The sequence below is a fragment of the Homo sapiens genome, chromosome 17 (assembly GCF_000001405.40).
Source record: "Homo sapiens chromosome 17, GRCh38.p14 Primary Assembly".
NCBI lineage: Eukaryota > Metazoa > Chordata > Mammalia > Primates > Hominidae > Homo > Homo sapiens.
The window spans coordinates 44,702,229-44,721,200 of record NC_000017.11 but is presented as its reverse complement, the minus strand read 5'-3'; the positions used below and the strand labels follow the sequence as shown (position 1 = coordinate 44,721,200).

The following is an 18,972-nucleotide window of genomic DNA, read 5'->3' as shown; positions in this document are numbered from 1 at the left end:
TAATGGACATGAAAAACATAGTATTTTTAAAATCTTGGCCAGGTGCTGTGTTTCACACCTGTATCCCAGTACTTTGGGAGGCTGAGGCAGGTGGATCACTTGAGATAAGGACTTCGAGACCAGCCTGGCCAACATGGTGAAACCCCGTCTCCACTAAAAATACAAAAAATAACCGGGCGTGGTGGTTCACGCCTGTAATCCCAGCTACTCGGGAGGCTGAGGCAGGAGAATTGTTTGAACCCAGGAGGTGGAGGTTACAGTGAGTTAAGAGTTAAGATTACACTACTGCATTCAAGCCTGGGAAACCAAGCGAGATTGACTTAAAAAAAAAAAAAAGCCAGATAATAGCAAGTGTTGGTGAGGATATGAGAAACTGGAACCCTCATATACTTCTGGAGGGAATGTGGAATCGTGCAGTCACATTGGAAAACCATGTGTTAGTTTCTCAAAAGGTTAAACACAGAGTTACCGTATGACCCAGCAATTTTACTCCTAGGTATATCCTTGAGAAATGAAAACACAGCCACATGAAAACTTGTAAATGAATGCTTATAGCAATATTAATCATATAGCCAAAAAGTGGAGTCTTTCCCATCTTGCAAGATGATGGGTGAGAAAGCTGAGAAGCCAGATACTAAAGAGAAGAAACCTAAGGCCAAGAAAGCTGATGTTGGTGGCAAGGTGAAAAGGGGCAACCTCAAGGCTAAAACGTCTAAGACAGGGAAGCCCCATTGCAGCTGCAATCCTGTCCTTGTCAGAGGAATTGCAGATATTCCCGATCTGCTATGTATTCCAGAAAGACCACGTCCAGGAAGAAGTACTCAGCTGCTAAATCCAAGGTTGAAAAGAAAAAGAAGTTTCTTGCAACTGTTACAAAACCAGTTGGTGTTGACAAGAACAGTGGTACCCAGGTGGTTAAACTTCACAAAATGCCTAGATATTACCCTACTGAAGATGTGCCTCTAAAGCTGTTGAGCCATGGCAAAAGAAACCCTTCAGTCAGCATGTGAGAAAACTGCGATCCAGCATCACCTCCAGGACGATTCTGATCATCACCACTGGGCGCCACAGAGGCGAGGGTGGTTTTCCTGAAGCAGCTGGTCTTGGGACTGGACCTCTGGTCCTCAATCAAGTTCCTCTACGAAGAACACACCAGAAATTTGTCATTGCTACCTCAACCAAAATTGGTAGCAGCAATGTAAAAATTGCAAAACGTCTTACTGGTGCTTACTTTAAGAAGGTGTGGAAGCCTAAACACCAGGAAGGTGAGACCTTTGACACAGAAAAAGAGAAATAGATTACAGAGCAGCGCAAGACTTATCAGAAAGCTGTGGACTCACATGTTTTAGAAAAAAATCAAAGCTTTCCTCAGCTCCAGGGCTACCTGTGATCTGTGTCTGCCCTAACGAATGGAATTTATCCTCACAAATTGGTGTTCTGAATTTCTTAAGAACCTAATAACATTTTGTTTGTGTCTCTTAAAAAAAAAGTGGAAACTCATATGTCCATTTGATGAATGGATAAACAAAATGTGGTATATCCATATAATGGAACACTACTCAACAATAAAAAGGAATGATGTACTGACACATGGCACCACATGGATAAACTGCAAAAGCATTATGCTAAGTGAAAGAAATCAGTCACAAAAGACTACACATTTTATGACTCTATTTATATGAAATGTCCAGAAGAGGCAAATTTATAGAAACAGAAAGTACATTAGCAGATGACTAGGGCTGGGGAGTCAGGAGAAATTTGTGAGTGGCTGCTAATGGGTATTCTTTTTTGGAGTGAGAAAAGTGCTCTAAATTGATTGTGGTGATGGTTGCCCAATTCTGTGAACATACTAAGTCACTGAATTGTACGCTTTATATGGATGAATTGTGTGGTGTGTGAACTATAACTCAAAAAAGCTGTTAAGAAAAAAAAAATAGGACAGGCGTGGTGGCTCATGCTTGTAATCCTAGCACTTTGGGAGGCCGAGGCGGATGGACAATGAGGTCAGGAGATCAAGAGCATCCTGGCCAACATGGTGAAACCCTGTCTCTACTAAAAATACAAAAATTAGCTGGGCATGGTGGCACGTGCCTGTAATCCCAGCTACTTGGGAGGCTGAGGCAGGAGAATTGCTTAAGCCAGGGAGTTGGAGGTTTCAGTGAGCCAAGATCGCGCCACTGCACTCTAGTCTGGCAACAGAACAAGACTCCGTCTCAAAAAAAAAAAAATTTATTTATTTTGAGACGGAGTCTCACTCTGTCACCCAGGCTGGAGTGCAGTGGCGCGATCTTGGCTCACTACAACCTCTGTCTCCCGGGTTGAAGTGATTCTTCTGCCTGAGCCTCGAGTAGCTGGGATTACAGGCATGCGGCACCAAAGCCAGCTCTAAAAGAAAAACAATTTAAATTTCAGTATTTGCACAGTCTCAAAGTATCTTCCTGTAAGATAGTTATTAATTACAGAAGGTAAAACAGTAACTTTTCAGTGGAAAAACCTAGCAGACACCACTTTTAATCAAGGGATCGAAGTTAATGAGATTTATCTTATCTTCATCATGTGCCTCCTGATAACATACTGGAGAGGGGATAACATCACTTCTGTGCCAAAAATGCTTTAGCTGAATTCAATCATGTGGACGTACCAAACAAACCCAAATTTAGAGGTGACTTCAAAAGTACTGAGGTCATCAAAGACAAAGAAAGAATGAGGACCTCCTCTCAGGAGGAGACTAACGAGATATAATTAAAGGCAATATGTAACCTTTTTTTTTTTTTTTTTGAGATAGAGTCTTGCTCTGTCGTCCAGGCTGGAGTGCAGTGGTGCGATCTCGGCTCACTGCAACCTCTGCCTCCCAGGTTCAAGCGATTCTCCTGCCTCAGCCTCCCAAGTAGCTGGGACTACAGGCGCACACCACCATGCCCAGCTAATTTTTGTATTTTTAGTAGAGACAGCCATGTTGGCCAGGATGGTCTTGATCTCTTGAACTCATGATCCGCCCGCCTCGGCCTCCCAAAGTGCTGGGATTACAGGCATGAGCCATCGTGCCCAGCTGCAACATGTAATCTTAAACCAGGACAAGAACATTGGGGGATAATTGGTAAAATGTGAATGAGATCTATAGATTAGTTAATAATATCAACATTAATTTCCGGATTTTCTTTTCTTTCTTTTTTTTGAGACAGGATCTCACTCTGTCACTCAGGCTAGAGTGCAGTGGTGTGATCATGGCTCACTGCAGCCTTGACCTCCTGGGCTCAAGGGATCCTCCCCCTGAGCCTCCTGAGTAGCTGGGATCACATGCACCACCATGTCACGCACCACCATACCTGGCGAATTTTTTTGATTTTCTGTAGAGACAAGATCTCACTATGTTGCCCATTCTGGTCTTGAACTCCTGGGCTCAAGTGATCTTCTCACCTCAGCCTCCCAAAGTGCTGGGATTACAAGCATGAGCCAACACGCCTAGCCCCCTGGATTTTTTTTTTTTTTTTTTGAGACCAGGTCTTGCTTTGTACCCAGGCTAGAGTGCAGTGGCACGATCTCGGCTCAGTCCAACCTCTGCCTCCCGGATTCAAGTGATTCTCCTGCCTCAGCCTTCCAAGTAGCTGGGATTACAGGTGCCTGCCACTACATCCAGCTAATTTTTTTGTATTTTTAGTAGAGACAGGGTTTCACCATGTTGGCCAGGCTGGTCTCGAAATCCTAGCTTCAAATGATTCCCCTGCCTTGGCCTCCCAAAGTGCTGGGATTACAGGCGTGAGCCACCACGCCCAGCCTGGATTTTTTTAATTGTACTATTATTACATAGATGTTAATATTTGGGGAAGCTGGGTAAAGAGTAGGAACCTTTGACTATTTTTGAAATTTTTTTATAACTGTGAAATTATTTTAAAATTAAAAACGAAAAGATCTATCCACATCAATAGATGAGCTAAATAGAACAGTGTGAGCTGGTAAATTAGGTTGAGTAACTCTTTCAGAAGGTATCACAAAGAGATAAATAAATGGACATCAGAGAATTTAAGAAATGCAGAGGATAGGGATAGAAATGTCAACAACACCAGAAGAGTTGCAAAGGGGGAAAAACAATGGAGAGAAGAAAATATTTGAAGAAATAATGATCCAGGCTTCTGCATAAATGTGGAAGATGAATACAAGAACTTCTGTTCTCTCTCCAAATCTCACTAAAGTGACAGAAAAAGAATAAAAATAGATAAAGAAACTGGCAAGAAGACAACAGGCAAGAGATGCTACAAAATGTTGGACGCTGGAAATTAGATGGGTGAGTGAAAAACAGACAGGAGATAAGAGAAGGCTAAATCCTAAGCCAACAAGAAGCAAGCTGATTAGAGCTGAAAGGCCCAATCAGAGGGACCATACAGAGTAGAATGCTAGAATGAAACAGTAGGCTAAAATACCAATTATTTGAAAGACTTTAAAAGGAATAGACTCTCAGAACCCTCTCCCACCCCAGCAGAAGACTAGAGCCGTGGTTCTTAACTGGGGAGATTTTTCCCCTCAGGGGATACTTGGCAACCTCTGGAAATGTTTTTGGCTGGCACAACTGGGAAGTGGGTGTGCTCCTGGCATCTAGCGGGTGGAGGCCAGGGATGCCACTTAGTATCTTACAAAGCACAGGACAACCTCAGAAAACAAAGAATTACTTGGCTCAAAATGTCAATAGTCTTGGGGCTGAAAAAATCCCTGGACTAGAGGAACATTGGGCACAGGTGAAAGCAAAGATAAAGCCCCAGTGAAAACATAGGGGATCAAAAGAATATCTGTATACTGAACAGTAAGACCTACAGATCTGTTGCCCCAGTGAGCTCCCAGAATGCTGACAAGCTTATACTTACCAGAGAGAGGTTTGGAGGACTCTTCTCTAGCGAACTGACTAGCTCAAGACAAAAACATACAAACTAGTGACAACTGAGGTCCCTCCCCCACAAAATTGCCAGGTCCCAGCTTACAATGAAGTCTATCAAGTTGACAACCCCTTCTCCTCACTCTTAAATATGAATAGGTAAACAAAGATCATCAGACATTTAAAGGAAGTTTCTAACAAGAAATTAGGCTAGACTGGGTGTGGTGGCTCACGTTTGTAATCCCAGCACTTTGGGAGGCCGAGGCGGGTGGATTACCTCAGATCGGGAGTTTAAGACCAGCCTGGCCAACATGGTGAAACCCCGTCTCTACCAAAAATACAAACAATTAGCCAGGTGTGGTGGCATGCACCTGTGGTCCTAGCTACTTGGGAAGCTGAGGCAAGAGAATTGCTTGAACCTGGGAGGGGGAGGTTGCATTGAGCTGAGATCGCGCCATTGCACTCCAGCCTGGGAGACAGAGCAAGACTCTGCCTCAAAAAAAAAAAAAAAAAAAAAAAAAAAAGAAAGAAAGAAAGAAATTAGGCTAACAAACAGAAAAAAGAAGAGGAAATAGACATAATGTAGGAAGCAGAAGAAAACTAAAAAGAAACAAAAACAGTACAATTAACAACCAGGGAGAGGAAAGGGAATACATTATATCCATTAAGCACAACAAGACACTGTAAGAAAAGAAACACACAGAAAAGAAAAAGCTCTTGGAAATTTATAAATGTTATAGAAATTAAAAATTCAACGAAAATTGGAGATTAAGTTGTGGAAATTTTCTAGAGAACAGAATGAAAGACAGATGCAAAATGGGAGAGAAAAACAAGAAAACTGGCCGGGTGTGGTGGCTCACACCTGTAATCCCAGCACTTTGGGAGGCTGAGATGGGTGGATCACCTGAGGTCAGGAGTTTGAGACCAGCCTGGCTAACATGGTGAAACCCCATTTCTACTAAAAATACAAAAAATTAGCCAGGTGGCGGGTGCCTGTAATCCCAGCTACTTAGGAGGCTGAGACTGGAGAATCACTTGAACTTGGGAGTCAGAGGTTGCAGTGAGCTGAGATTGCACCATTGCATTCCAGCCTGGGCAACAAGAGCAAAACTCCGTCTCAAAAACAAACAAACAAAAATCCACAAGAAAATCAAAGGAAGAATCTATGAGATCTAATATCCAAACAATAAAAGTTCCAGAAAGAGAAAAGAGAAAATAGAAGGGAGAAATATTATAGAAATAATGCTAAAAATTTCCCAGAACTAAAGAAAATGATGTTACAGATTGAAAGGTACCTGCTCCATAAATGAAAAAAGTCCCACATCAAGACACACTGTCATGGAATTTCAGAATACTGAAGAGAAAGACAGGATTTGACTTACATTGTAGCCAATATTGGAGACCAGCTAATGTAAAAGCCTTCCTATGGGAGCCTCTCTGAACCTATTCTGGTTTGGGGGCTGCCCATTAAAAAAAATAATAATAATAAGCTGGGCATGGTAGCTCACATCTGTAATCCCAGCACTTTGGGAGATCAAGGTGGGAGGATCACTTGAGCTCAGGACTTCAAGACCAGCCTGGGCAACAAAGTGAGACTCCACTTCTACAAAAAAATCAAAATTTAATAATTTTTGACAATAATAGCAATAGAAATAGCAAATATATATCGCTATGCACAATACATTCTCAACAGGTCTATAAAGAAGATAAAATTATTATACCTGTTTTACAGTTATAATAATTACAGTTACAGGAAACTGAGGCACAGAGAAATCTTGTATGCCCAAGATCATACTGTTAGTAAGGGGTAGAAATGGAATGAAGGATACCTCTTACTTGTTTAGTGAAAGTTAAAAACAAACACAAAAAACATACAGAGACTGTTACCACATCGGCATATAGATGGATAAATGTTGAGATAGTCTTGTCTAAATTTATACAGAATTTCAGGAAAGCCAAATATTGCTGTGGGGCTCCCCAAACTTATACTTCATTTTCAAAAGTATTATTTATTTCAATAGCTTCTGGGGTACAGGTAGTTTTTGGTTACCTGGATGAGTTCTACAGTGAATTATGAGATTTTAGTGCACCTGTCACCCAAGCAATGTACACTGTACCCAATATGTAATCTTTTATCCCTCACCCCTCTCCTAACCTTCCCCCTCATCAAATCCCCAAAGTCCATTATATGACTTTGCATGTCTTTGCATCCTCACAGCTTAGCTCCCACTTACAAGTGAAAACTAAATGGTATTTGGTTTTCCATTCCTGAGTTACTTCACTTACAGTAATGGCCTCCAGCTCCATCCAAGTTGCTGCAGAACTTATTTTGTTCCTTTTTATGGCTAAGTAGTATTCCATGGTGTAAAAAATATAGAATTTAAAATACAGGAGATCCAACACAGGAAAGAGGCAAAAAGAATTCCACAGAATAACGAGGGGAGATCGGAGGATGAAATCAGTGCAATAGGCCTAGTACACAGCCAGGCCAGACTGGAGTACTAAAACGCTATGTCTCCAAGACAAATTGACAGATCCTCTGATGAGCTTGAAAGTATTGAGAGAAGGCCCATACTCTGGTGAAGAGTTTGGACCTGAATTAGTGATCCATACATAAAAAAACAAAGAAAATCTCCTAGCTTATTATATAGCTCAGTGATGAATAATGTTTTGTTTGTTTGTTTTTTTGAGACGGAATCTTTCTCTGTCGCCCAAGCTGGAGTGCAGCGGCATGATCTCGGCTCACTACACCTCTGCCTCCCGGGTTCAAGTGATTCTCCTGCCTCAGTCTCCCAAGTAGCTGGGATTACAAGCGTGCACGACATCCTACTGATTTTTGTATTTTTAGTAGAGACAGGGTTTCACCATGTTGGCCAGGCTGGTCTCAAACTCCTAACCTCAGGTAATCCACCTGCCTCAGCCTCCCAAAGTGCTGGGATTACAGGTATGAGCCACCGCGCCCGGCCGAATAATGTTTACATAATGAAAATAATGTCGGCGGGGCGTGGTGGCTCACACCTGTAATCCCAGCACTTTGGGAGGCGGAGGCAGGTGGATCACGAGGTCAGGAGATGAAGACCATACAGGCTAACACAGTGAAACCCCATCTCTACTAAAAAAAACCAAAAAATTAGCCGGGCCTGGTCGTGGGTGCCTGTAGTCCCAGCGACTCCAGAGGCTGAGGCAGAAGAATGGCATGAACCCGGGAGGCGGAGCTTGTAGTGAGCCCAGATCACGCCACTGCACTCCAGCCTGGGCGACAGAGCAAGACTCTGTCTCAAAAAAAAAAAAAAAAAAAAAAAGTCAATACAAATGACTAAATCAAAATTACTACATATATACTGGGGAGATAAAAGGAAAGGTGGGAAATGCATGTGCGTTTGTGTGTGGTGCAGAGAAGTGGTAGGACAGAAAAAATCTTTATTGTCCATAGAAGACAGTCAATAGATATAATTCAAAATTGACTGGGCATGGTGGCTCACGCCTGTAATTCCATCACTTTGGGAGGCCGAGGTGGGCAGATCACTTGAGCCCAAGAGTTCAAGACCAGCCTGGGCAACACAGTGAGACCCCATCTCTATAAAAAAAAAAGAAGACAGGCCGGGTGTGGTGGCTCACACCTGTAATCCCAGCACTTTGGGAGGCTGAGGAGGGCAGATCGTGAGGTCAGGCAATCGAGACCATCCTGGCTAACATGGTAAAACCCCATCTCTACTAAAAATACAAAAAATTTGGCTGGGCGTGGTGGCTCATGCCTGTAATCCCAGCACTTTGGGAGTCTGAGACGGGTGGATCACGAGACCAGGAGATCAAGACCATCCTAGCTAACACAGTGAAACCCCATCTCTACTAAAAAGACAAAAAATTAGCCAGTCATGGTGGCACGTGCCTGTAGTCCCAGCTACTTGGGAGGCTGAGGCAGGAGAATCGCTTGAACCCAGGAGGCAGAGGTTGCAGTGAGCCGAGATGATTGTGCCACTGCACTCCAGCCTGATGAGAGTGAGACCGTCTCAAAAAAAAAAAAAAAAAAAAAAAGAAGACATAATTCAAAATGGAAAACAATTAAAACAGTATGAGCATATTATTACAGAAATAAGGTGGTAGCTTCTAGAAGAAATAGTTAAAAGCTGTAAATGGCTGTTTCTTAGGAAGTGGGAATCAGACAGCCTGAAAGGGGATTAACTCTCATGCCTCCTGTTTTTTGTGAGAAACTTTGGCTTTTTTTTTTTTTTCTTTTTTGAGATGGAGTTTCATTCTTGTTGCCCAGGCTGGAGTGCAATGGCACAGTCTCGGCTCACTGCAACCTCCACCTCCTGGGTTCAAGCAATTCTCCTGCTTCAGCCTCCCAAGTAGCTGGGATTATAGGAGCCTGCCACCACGCCAGCTAATTTTTTTTTTTTTTGAGACAGAGTCTTGCTCTGTCGCCCAGGCTGGAGTGCAGTGGTGCAATTTTGCTCACTGCAAGCTCCGCCTCCCGGGTTCACGCCATTCTCCTGCCTCAGCCTCCCGAGTAGCTGGGACTACAGGTGCCTGCCACCACGCCCGGCTAATTTTTTGTATTTTTAGTAGAGATGGGGTTTCACCATGGTCTCAATCTCCTGACCTCGTGATCCCCCTGCCTCGGCCTCCCAAAGTGCTGGGATTACAGGTGTCAGCTACCACGCCCGGCTCTGTTTTTTGTATTTTTAGTAGAGACAGGGTTTCACCACGTTGCCCAGGCTGGTCTTGAACTCCTGATCTCAGGTGATCCGCCTGCCTTGGCCTCCCAAAGTGCTGGGATTACAAGTGTGAGCCACCACACATGGCCTGCCTTTTAAGCTATGTCAAGAATCAAACAGGAAGCCAGGTGTGGAGACATGCACCTGAAGACATAGCTACTTGGGAGACTGAGGCAGGAGATTGGGAGACTGAGGCAGGAGAATTGCTTGCACCCAGGGCTTTGAGGCTGCAGTGAGCTATGATTGTGCCACTGTACTCTAGCCTGGGTAACAGAGCAAGTTCTTGTCTCTAAAATAAAATAATAATTTAAAAAAATTTAAAGAATCAATCTGGAGGCCAGGTGTGGTGGCTCACGCCTATAATCCCAGTATTTTGGGAGGCTGAAGCAGGTGGATCATGAGGTCGGGAGTTCAAGACTAGCCTGACCAACATGGTGGAACCCTGTCTCTAGTGAAAATACAAAAATTAGCCGGGCATGGTGGCGTGCTCCTGTAATCCCAGCTACTCAGGAGACTGAGGCAAAAGAATTGCTTGAATTCTGGAGGCAGAGGTTGCAGTGAGCCGAGATGGTGCCACTGCACTCCAGCCTGGGCGACAAAGCGAGACTCTGTCTCAAAAAAAAAAAAAAAAAAAAAAAAAAATCAAACTGGAATAAAAACGAAAATAAAAACCCTCTAAAATCCACACATTATCATCTTATAGTAAATTTTAAGAACAAATATAAAAATGTATAATCTAAAATATTGGGCTGGGTGCAGTGGCTCACTCCTGTAATCCCAACACTTTGGGAAGCTGAGGAGGGTGATCGCTTGAGCCCAGGAGTTGAAGACCGGCCTGGGCAACATGGCAAAACCTCGTCTCTACAAAACAAACAACAAAAAAAAATTAGCTGGGCGTGGTGTTGAGTGCCTGCAGTCCCAGCTACCTGGGAGTCTGAGGTGGGAGGATCACTTGATCCCGGTGAGGCCAAACCTGCAGTGAGCCATGATTGCTCCACTGCACTCCAGCCTGGGTGCAAGACCTCAAAATAAATAAAATAAAACATTTTTTTCTTTCATCAATATAATCCATAGGTTCACATAATCTAAAACATCTAATGAGAAAAGGAGGTCACTTACAAAGCAGCAAGAATAAAAAAGAAATGCTGAAGAAAACAAGGAGAAAATACTGTAATTTTTCAATGTGTTGAAGGAAAAAAAATTGACTTAAATTTTACTACAAGGCTGAAATAAATATATTCTTAGTTTATCACACAAAGCCTCCTTTTGAAAACACTCTTGAAGTTCTCCAGAGAAACAGAAGGGGGAAAAAAAACCAACAAGAGATGGGAAGAATGAATAACTCAGTAAATGAAGTGGATTACTGTTTAAAAGGCAACAAGCCGATGGCATATCTGTTAACAATCCAGAAGTAAAAGTAGACGGTATTTTTTTTTTCTTTTTTTTGAGACGGAGTCTCGCTCGGTCGCCCAGGTTGGAGTGCAGTGGCGCAATCTCGGCTCGCTGCAACCTCCGCCTCCTGGGTTCAATCAATTTTCCTGCCTCAGCCTCCTGAGTAGCTGGGACTACAGGCACGCCTCACCACGCCCGCCTAATTTTTTGTATTTTTAGTAGAGATGGGGTTTCACTGTGTTAGCCAGGATGGTCTCAATCTCCTGACCTCGTGATCCGCCCGCCTTGGCCTCCCAAAGTGCTGGGATTACAGGCGTGAGCAGCCGCGCCCGGCCAACTAGATGATATTAACTAAAGGGGCAGTACGGAGGGAAGTGCCATGTGCTAAAATACTTACCTAATTAGGTAGCAGTGTTTAACTTAAGGATTTTATTGTAAACAACTATGAATGTATTAATTTATATATTTAATAAGTCACTCTATCCTGACTCCACATCTGTCTGTTAATCTTGTTCATAATATGACTCTTACTTGACCTTTATCATGAATCCCAAAACGGTCTATGATGCTGCGTCCATACACACACACACATAAAACCACTAAGTGGGCCTGGTGAAGTGGCTCACACCTGTAATCCCAGCATTTTGGGAGGCCTAGGCAGGAGAACTGCTTGAGGCCAGGAGTTTGAGACCAGCTTGGCCAACACAGCAAGACCCCATCCCAATAAATAAAATGAATAAATAAGTACATAAAAACACTGAGTGATCGAAAACTCCAACAGGGGGAACATTTTTCGGTCTTCTCCAAGAGACCCTGGGGCAATTTTCACCTCACGTCCCTAGTTCTGTCCTGTTACCCACCTAGGTCCGGGGCCCGGAGCCTACTCTCAGCCATGGAACTCTCCAGCTCGAGGCAATCGTCTCCTGAGAAAGGACATAACAGCAACTCAACCATCTTCACCAACCCTTGGAACTTCCATGCCTCCCGCCCACTACTGTCTCCCAAAACGCGCACAGAAACGCGACTCCTGGGAACAGCAAGACTCAACTCCATTCCGACCTACATCCCGCGACTCCCGCCAGGCTCTTGCCCCTCATGCCCTCCGCCTCCTTTCAGACTCCGTTCAGTCAACGGCCGTGACCTCTTGGCCACCTCCTGTCCATCTCAATCTCCATACATCCCTCCAGGCTGTTGTCCCCTACGTTCCTCTGCCACCTTCATTCCTCGGTCCCCTCAACTCCTGTGGCTCCTTCCCGGCCCCTATACCCTCCTCAGCTTCGGCACCTACCCGCTGGTCACTTCCTAAGCCCCCTCCACGACTCCGCACCTCGCCTCAGCTATTAACGACCCCTTCCGCCTTTCTTTCTCCCCTTCCCGGCATCCGTACCCTTTCCCGGTTCGCTCATCAAATGCCGGCTCCTTCTCGGCCTCCGTACTCCTTCCTCAGAGGCCTCCGTATTACATTCGCGAGCTCCATGAGCTCTTCCCGATTCCACAGTCCTGGTTATCTCAGGGCAGCTACAGCATCAATCTCTTGGCGTTTTCGGCCGCGGCTTCAGTTTAAATTTCCTGCCGGCTCCACCCCTAAAAGAACGCCGTAGCTGCGAGATCCGCCCTACGGTGTCCTTGGAAGGACAATATTAGTTTCGCGATTCCTCTTTCCGTTCCCCCACCGCCTACGTCTTCTCAAACCGTCTCTTCATTTCTTGGCTCTTCACTGGCTAGACGGCTTTGCCCCTTAATGGCCCTCAAGTTGAGGACTAGTGGTCGCTTTTTAGTGATTCTTCACACTGAGCTGCATTGAAATTCCTAGAAGTTTGAATACTAAATAACAAAATAAGCCTAACACTTGCAGAGCATTTGCAGTTTACATAAAGATTTCACTTACACATCATTTCATCTTCACATTTTTGTCCCCCTCCCGTTCTTCAATTATTACCTGCCCAACAAAACTTCTCAAAAGACGTATCTTTATCCCTCACTTCCCATCTTTTCTTCAACCCATCTAATTAGACTGCTAATTAGAGATCAAATTTGATCTAATAAGAGATCATTCAGTGGAGAGCTGGGGACCTCCCCACAAAAACTGTACTTATCCAGGTCAACTGTGATTTCCACAGTCTGAAATACTATCCTTATCATATCCAACTTATAGATGGACTATTCCTTCTTTGAAATACTTTCTTCTTTTTGCTTCCATGACTCAGCACTCTACCGTTTTTTTCCCTATCTCAATGGTTCCTCCTCAGTCCCCTTTGCTGGATCCAAAGCCACTGTTCACCTATATATTTTGGAGTATGCCAACGCTTTAGCCCTTATCCCTCTCCCTTATCTCCCTAGGAGATCTCATCCAGCTCCACAGCTTTACAATTCAGCTCTGCCACACCTTCAGATTTTCTGTAGCTCTGACCTGTCTGATCTCCAGACTCACATATTCAAGTGCCTACTGGCTATTTCAATTTGGATGTCTAATAGGCACCTCAGGCTGAACACATTCAAAACAGAACATTTGTTTCGCTGCCCCTGTCAAAAAACCACCTGTTCTCCCCCCAGGTCTTCCCCTCTCAGTAAAATGTTACTGTTTACTCAAATGTCACAATCATTCACCCAGTTGCTCAAACCAAAAACCTAGAAGTTGTCTTTCAGTACTTTCCCTTGTGCCCATCCCCACTCCAAGAAAAAAATCCTACTAACTCTGCCTCCAAAGTACATCTGGAATCAGACCACCACCACCCTAGTTCAAGCTGCTATCATTTCTTGCCTAAAGTACTGCGGTCAATTCTTCACTTCTACTCCCGAGTAGCTTCCTATCTCTCCCCAGTATAATCCATTCTCCATTCAGCAACCAGAGTGATAGTTTTTATATTTATTTATTTTTTTATTGAGAGGGAGTCTCGCTCTGTCGCCCAGGCTGGAGTGCAGTGGCGCAATCTTGGCTCACTGCAACCTTTGCCTCCCGGGTTCAGGCCATTCTCCTGCCTCAGCCTCCCGAGTAGCTGGGATTACAGGTGCCTGCCACCATGCCCGGCTAATTTTTGTATTTTAGTAGAGTCGGGGTTTCACCAGGTTGGCCAGGCTGGTCTCGAACTCCTGACCTCAGGTGATTCATCCGCCTCGGCCTCCCAAAGTGCTGAGATTACAGGTGTGAGCCACCGCGCCTGGCCCAGGGTGATATTTTTTAAACACTGGTAGAGGTATATACAGTACATAAACTTGGTATCTCTTCCAGTGGGACTCCTCCCTGAGGAAGCTTATACATCTCAGCCCTGATGAACGAACGAAGCCTTGGCCATATGACTTGCTTTGGCTCATGAAAAAAGAAAAAAGTGACATCACTTCCAAGCAGAAACTTTAAGAGGCAAGATGGTTCAGCATGTTCTTTTTTCACATGTGTGACAGAATTTGTATAATAAAGGTATCTGCCTCAGCATTGTTTGCAATACCAAAAGATCAAAAGCAACGAAAATATTGATTAACAACGGGCAGTAGGTTAAATAAATTATGGTGTAGTCATACTGTGCAACACTATGCAACTCCAAAAAATGAAAATACTTTAAAATATAAATGTATTTAGGGAATCCTAGCCAGAGCAATCAGCAAGAAAAAGAAACAAAAGGCATCCAAATAGGTAAAGAGAAAATCAAATTATCTCTGCTTACTGATGATATGATTCTATAGCTAGAAAACCATGAGGACTCCACCAAAAGGCTCCTAGACCCAATAAATTACTTTAATAAAATTTTAGGATTAAAAAAAAGTCAACACACAAAAATCAGTAGCATTTCTATACACCAATAACGTTCAAGCTGAGAGCCAAATCAAGAATGTGATCTCATGTACAACAGCCACACACACAGGCTGGGCATGTTGGCTCACACCTGTAATCCCAGCACTTTGGGAGGCTGAGGAGGGTGGATCACTTGAGGCCAGGAGTTCGAGACCAGCCTGGCCAACATGGTGAAACCCCATCTCCACTAAAAATACAAAAATTAGCCTGGAGTGATGGTGTGCAACTGTAATCCCAGCTATTCAGGTGGCTGAGGCACAAGGATCACTTGAGCCCAGGAGGCGAAGATTGCAGTGAGCCAAGCTCACACCACTGCATTCCAGCCTGGGTGACGAGACTCTGTCAAAAAAAAAAAAAAAAAAAGCGCCAGCCGGGCATGGTGGCTCACACCTGTAATCCCAGTACTTTGGGAGGCCGAGGCGGGCAGATCACGAGGTCAGGAGATCGAGACCATCCTGGCTAACATGGTGAAACCCCGTCTCTACTAAAAATACAAAAAATTAGCCAGGTGTGGTGGCTGGTGCCTGTAGTCCCAGTTACTTGGGAGGCTGAGGCAGGAGAATGGCATGAACCCGGGAGGCAGAGCTTGCAGTAAGACGAGATCACCCCACTGCACTCCAGCCTGGGCAACAGAACGAGACTCTGTCTCATTAAAAAAAAAAGAGCCACACACACAAAACAATCCCTAGGAATACATCTCACCAAGGAGGTGAAAGATCTCTACAAGAACTATAAAACACTGCTGCTGAAAGAAATAATAAAAGACACAAACGAATAGAAAAACATTCCATGATCATGGATTGGAAGAGTCAATATCATTAGAATGTCCATACTGCCCAAAACAATCTACAGATTCAGTGCTATTCCTATCAAATTACCAATGTAATTTTTCACAGAATCAGAAAAAAAAACTATTCTAAAATGCATATAGAATGAAAAAAAGAGCCTGAATCGCCAAAGCAATCCTAAGCTAAAAGAACAAAGCCAGAGGCATTACATTACCTGACTTCAAACTAAACAAGGCTACAGTAACCAAAACAGCATGGTAGTGGCATAAAAATAGACACATAGACCAATGGAACAGAATAAAGAACCCAAAAATAAAGCTGTACACCTATGAGTAATGGGGAAAGGACTCCCTGTTCAATAAATGATGCTGGGAAAACTGGTTAACCATATGCAGAAGAATGAAACTGGACCCCTACCTCTTACCATATACAAAAATTAACTCAAGGTGGATGAAAGACTTAAATGTAAGACATCAAACTAAAAATTCTGGAACAAAACCTAGGAAATACTGTCTAGATATCAGCCTGAGTCCTCAAAAGCAATTACGACAAAAAAAAAAAAAATTGACAACTGGCACCTAATTAAACTAAAGAGCTTCCAAAGCACAGCAAAAGAAACTATCAATGAAGTAAACAACCTACAGAATGGGAGAACATATTTGCAAACTATGCATCTGACAAAGGACTAATATCCAGAATCTATAAGGAACTTAAATAAATCAACGACAACAAAAAAACCTAATTAAAAAGTGGGCAAAGGCCAGATGCAGGGGCTCATGCCTGTAATCTCAACACTTTGGGAGGCCAAGGTAGGAGGCTTTACTTGAGCTCAGGAGTTCAAGGTCAGCCTGGGCAAAATAGGGAGGCCCATCTATATAAAAATTTTTTTAAATTAGCTAGGCCTGGTGGCATATGCCTGCAGCCCCAGCTACTTGGGAGGCTGAGGTAGGAGGATCACCTGGGCCAGAAGGTCAAGTCTGCAGTGAGCCAAGATCATGCCACTGCACTCCAGCCTGAACGACAGACCAAGACCTTGTCTCAAAAAAAAAAAAAAAAAAAAAGGCAAAAACATGAGCAGACATATCTTAAAAAAAGACATACAAGTGGCAACAAACATGAAAAAATGCTTAATATCATTGATCATCAGAGAAATGTAAATTAAAACCACAATGAGATACCATCTCATACCAGTCAGAATGGCTACTATTAAAAAGCCAAAAGATAATAAATGTTGGCCAGTCTATGGAGAAAAGGTAATGCTTATATACTGTTGGTGAGAATGTAAATTAGTTCAGCCCCTGTGGAAAGCAGTGTGATTTCTCAAAGAACTAAAAATAGAACTATCATGTGACCCAGCAATCCCATTACTTGGTATATACCCAAAGGAAAATAAACCATTCTACCAAAAGGACACCTGCACTATGTTTATTACCACACTATTCACAGTAGCAAAGACATAGAAACAACCTAGGTACCCCGTGAATGGTGGATTGGATAAAGTAAATGTGGTACATATACACCATGGGATACTATACAGCCATAAAAAATAATGAAATTGCTGGGGGCAGTGGCTCACGCCTGTAATCCCAGTACTTTGGGAGGCCGAAGTGGGCGGATCACTTGAGGTTGGAAGTTCGAGACCAGCCTGACCAACATGGAGAAACCCCATCTCTACTAAAAATACAAAATTAGCCGGGTGTGGTGGCGCATGCCTGTAATCCCATCTACTCGGGAGGGTGAGGCAGGAGAATAGCTTGAACCTGGAAGTCAGAGGTTGCGGTGAGCTGAGATCTTGCCATTGCACTCCAGCCTGGGCAGCAAGAGCAAAACTCAATCTCAAAAAAAAAAAAAACATCATGTCTTTTGTAGCAATGTGAGTGTAGCTGGAGGCCATTCTCCTAAGCAAATTAGCACAGAAACAGAAAACCAAATATTGCATGTTCTCACTTTTAAGTGGGATCTAAACCCTGGATACACATGGACATAAAGATGAGAACAATAGACACTGGGGACTCCAAAAGGAGGGAAGGCTGGAGAGAGGAAGGTGGGTAATATGTTCACTATCTGGGTGATGGGATCACTCGAAGCCCAGGCCAGGTGTGGTGGCTGATGCCTGTAATCCCAACACTTGGGACACCAAGGCCCGAGGATCACTTGAGCCCAGGGGTTTGAGACCAGCCTGGGCAACATAGGGAGAACCTTTCTCTACAATAAATAAAATAAAAAATTAGCTGAGCATTAGGTATGCACCTGTGGTCCCAGCTATTGGAGAGGCTGAGGTGAGAGGGTCGCTTGAGCCCAGGAGGTCAAGGCTGCAGTGAGCTGTGATTGCCCCACTGCAGTCCAGTCTGGGCAACAGAGGGAGACTCTGCCCCAGCCCACCCTGCCCACCCCCCACCGACAAGCCCAAATTGCAGCATTGCACAATATACCCTTGTGACAAACTTGCACATGTACCCCCAAATCTAAAAGTTAAATTTAGGCCAGGAGTGGTAGCTTATGCCTGTAACCCCAGCACTTTGGGAGGCCGAGGCAGGCAGACTGTTTGAGACCAGGAGTTCGAGACCAGCCTGGGCAACACAGCAAGACTCTGTTGCTTAAAAAGAAAAAAAAAAAAAAAGAAAGAAAGAAAAAGAAAATAAGGAAGTAAGAAAGAGAAAATAAGAATAATTGAAAATGAATTAGCTAAGTGTTCAACTTGAGAAGTCAGAAAAATGAACAAAACAGTGAGCCCAAAGGCTGTAGACAGTCAGAAATAGCAAAGGATAGAAATTAATGAAATGGAAAAGAAAAAGTAGATTCTTAAAAATCAATGTGGAAAAGACAAATAACACAAAAGAAAAATACGGGCAATACAAACATGAGACATTTTAAGGGCTGATAAACATAAAGCATGCTACGACTCACTAATAATTAGGAAAATACCAATTTAACAATAATTAAATGCCACTTCATAACTTTTGATCTGCAAAAATTAATGTGTATTAAAACCAAATTCTAGTAAAAATGCAAAGAAAAGGGTGGGGTATAAAACTGGGGCAAACCTTGGGAGAGCAATTTAGTACCCAATAAGGTACCTGCCCTTCAGTCTAACACTCTTCTAGGTTTATCCTGGGCCGGTGGTCTCCAAAGAAAGGTGTGCCTTGGCCAGGCATGGTGGCTCATGCCTGTAATCTCAGCACTTTGGGAGGCCAAGGTGGGCGGATCACTTGGGGTCAGGAGTTCAAGACCAGCCTGGCCAACAGGATGAAACCCCATCTCTACTTAAAAAATATAAAAATTAGCCAGGCATGGTGGTGTGTGCCTGTAATCCCAGGTACTTGGGATACTGAGGCAGCAGAATTGTTTGAACCAAGGAGGCAGAAGTGGCAGTGAGCTGAGATGGCCCCACTGCACTCCAGCCTGGGTGACAGAGCAAGACTC

At 43.7% G+C, this 18,972-nt stretch overlaps 1 protein-coding gene and 2 pseudogenes across 22 annotated transcripts in view, besides 2 other annotated features; 2 read left to right on the top strand and 1 right to left on the bottom strand.

The window, feature by feature from the left end:
• The window catches only part of DBF4B (DBF4B-CDC7 kinase regulatory subunit), a 43,600-nt gene extending 31,064 nt beyond the window's left edge, over window positions 1-12,536 (bottom strand). For 9 of the 22 annotated variants that reach the window (NR_148206.2, NR_036623.2, NM_145663.3 and 6 more), the window contains exons 1-2: window positions 12,362-12,536; window positions 11,835-11,897 (exon numbers count right to left, since the gene is read on the bottom strand). Coding sequence is in view for 17 of the 22 variants with exons in the window: in NM_145663.3 (NP_663696.1) it covers window positions 11,835-11,897; window positions 12,362-12,380 (82 nt within the window). In the remaining 5 variants the exon portion in view is untranslated. The other 13 variants (NR_148207.2, XM_047436817.1, XM_024450953.2 and 10 more) reach the window with 9 other exon arrangements.
• On the top strand, window positions 586-1,464 carry RPL6P26 (ribosomal protein L6 pseudogene 26; annotated as a pseudogene).
• On the top strand, window positions 2,071-2,340 carry RN7SL819P (RNA, 7SL, cytoplasmic 819, pseudogene; annotated as a pseudogene).
• Window positions 11,702-12,215: an enhancer, noted in NCBI's record as "H3K27ac hESC enhancer chr17:42786354-42786867 (GRCh37/hg19 assembly coordinates)". NCBI's record gives its function as "activates a minimal SCP1, AML or CMV promoter by ChIP-STARR-seq in primed H9 embryonic stem cells {active_cell/tissue: H9 hESC(primed)}" and the evidence as "EXISTENCE:reporter gene assay evidence [ECO:0000049][PMID:30033119]".
• Window positions 12,216-12,730: an enhancer, noted in NCBI's record as "H3K27ac hESC enhancer chr17:42785839-42786353 (GRCh37/hg19 assembly coordinates)". NCBI's record gives its function as "activates a minimal SCP1, AML or CMV promoter by ChIP-STARR-seq in naive H9 embryonic stem cells {active_cell/tissue: H9 hESC(naive)}" and the evidence as "EXISTENCE:reporter gene assay evidence [ECO:0000049][PMID:30033119]".